Source organism: Homo sapiens, chromosome 3 (assembly GCF_000001405.40).
Source record: "Homo sapiens chromosome 3, GRCh38.p14 Primary Assembly".
Lineage (NCBI taxonomy): Eukaryota > Metazoa > Chordata > Mammalia > Primates > Hominidae > Homo > Homo sapiens.
The window spans coordinates 131,425,702-131,427,682 of record NC_000003.12 but is presented as its reverse complement, the minus strand read 5'-3'; positions in this window follow the sequence as shown (position 1 = coordinate 131,427,682).

Sequence of the window (1,981 nt, the reverse complement as noted above, 5' to 3'; positions counted from 1 at the left end):
CTACTGGTAGATGGCTGATTGTCAGTTCAGAGTGGATAATTACACCTGGAGAAATGCTACAGGCCATTAATTTATGCACCAAGCTGCTAGTCCTCTACCACTTCCCTTCGTCTCCCTCCCCCATCTCTAGCATGCTTCTTATCTCTCCGTGGTTCCAGTGTTCTTAGAGGCACATTCAGACTTGTAGTTATACTCAGGAACAGTGGTTCTCAAACTTCAGCCATATCAGCATCACCTAGGAGACTTCTTAAAACACAGATTGCTGGAATATACTCCAGAGTTTCCAATTCAGCAGATCTGGGGTGAATTTACAACTGTAACAAGTTTCCATGTGATGCTGATACTGCTGGTCCAAAGATCATACTTTGAAAACTACTGCTCTGGGAAGAGTAGCAATTGGAGACAGATCTTTAGGGCCACCAAACATCTGCTCAGTCTTTACAAAACTGGTGAAAATATAGCACATATTCCAAAAACCCATGCATGTCACTTAGCTCAGCTTTAGGCTGAAACTATCAGAACATCCCATGCTGGGCCTCTGAATTTTGTAATTTGCATCAGAAAGACCTCAAAAATTATCTGATCCACAATGGTCTACATTTTTGTTTCTCCTAAAAGCTTGTGGATTTTACTTGAGACCCCAGATGCATTCTTTTCATTAAATCTTTCACTCCCAAAAAGCCAAATAGCTGTCTGGTGTAAGTGTGACTGCTCTACATATGGGAAAAAAGAGTATATATCCCAGGAATCAAATCTAGAGATTATCATGGACCATGAACCAGTTGAATTGTTGAATTTAATGGAATTTGGGACTGGGGTCTTCTGGCTAAATAGTTGTGTCACTCTGGTTCCCTGGTCCTTTCTTTTCTTTTCTTTTTTTTTTTTTTTTGAGACATGGTCTCACTCTATCACTCAGGTTGGAGTGCAGTGGCATGATCATGGCTCACTGTAGCCTCGATGTCTCAGGCTCAAGCAGTCCTCCCACCTCAGCCTCCCGAGTAGCTGGGACTATAGGCATGCACCACCACACCCAGCTAATTTTTGGTTTTTTGTAGAGACAGGGTTTTGCCATGTTGCCCAGGTTAGTCTCAAACTCCTGTGTTCAAGCGATCCACCTGCCTTGGCCTCCCAAAGTGCTGGAATTACAGGTGTGAGCCACTGTACTGGCCATAAATCCTTTGAATTAATTTTCTTACTTCAAGGACAGCCTTTGGGTCACAACTGGGAAAAAAAAAGTAGCACCTTTGGAAATTAGAGCCCTGGATCCCAATATCCCAGTTCATTATACTTAATGGATGCTTTAGGCATTAGAATTTTATTTTCTCATAGAATACTCAGAAAGGCTGAGTGGTCAAGAAAAAGGAGTAGTTCTCAATTTTTTTCAAAAGTAGAATTCCTTCATATGGTCAATTTTTTTTTTTTTTTAGATGGAGTCTCGCTCTGTCACCCAGGTTGGAGTGCAGTGGCACCATCTTGGCTCACTGCAATCTCCACCTCCCGGGTTCAAGTGATTCTCCTGCCTCAGCCTCCCCAGCAGCTGAGGCTACAGATGTGCGCCACCATGCCCAGCTAATTTTTGTATTTTTAGTAAAGCCGGGGTTTCACCATATTGGTCAGGCTGGTCTCAAACTCCTGACCTCATGATCTGCCCACCTCAGCCTCCCAAAGTGCTGGGATTACACACATAAGCCACTGCACCCGGCCGGTCAAAATATTTTATATGTTCCCTTGCCCAAGTGAGTACCTATTAAATAGAAAGATAACTGACCCTTTAAAAAAAAAACCCAACACCTAATGTCCCCAGCTTGGAACTACAGTCCAGTCTCAGCAGTTAGATGCTCAGTGGGTCATGGTCAGGCAGGCCACAGGGACAAATGAGTAAAAGTGATCAAGTTGAGATGGGAGGTAAGGCGAGGCAAGCAGGCAGGAGCTAGGAAGCAGGAGTTCCCAGAAGCTGGAATAAACTCAAAAGTCAAGAACA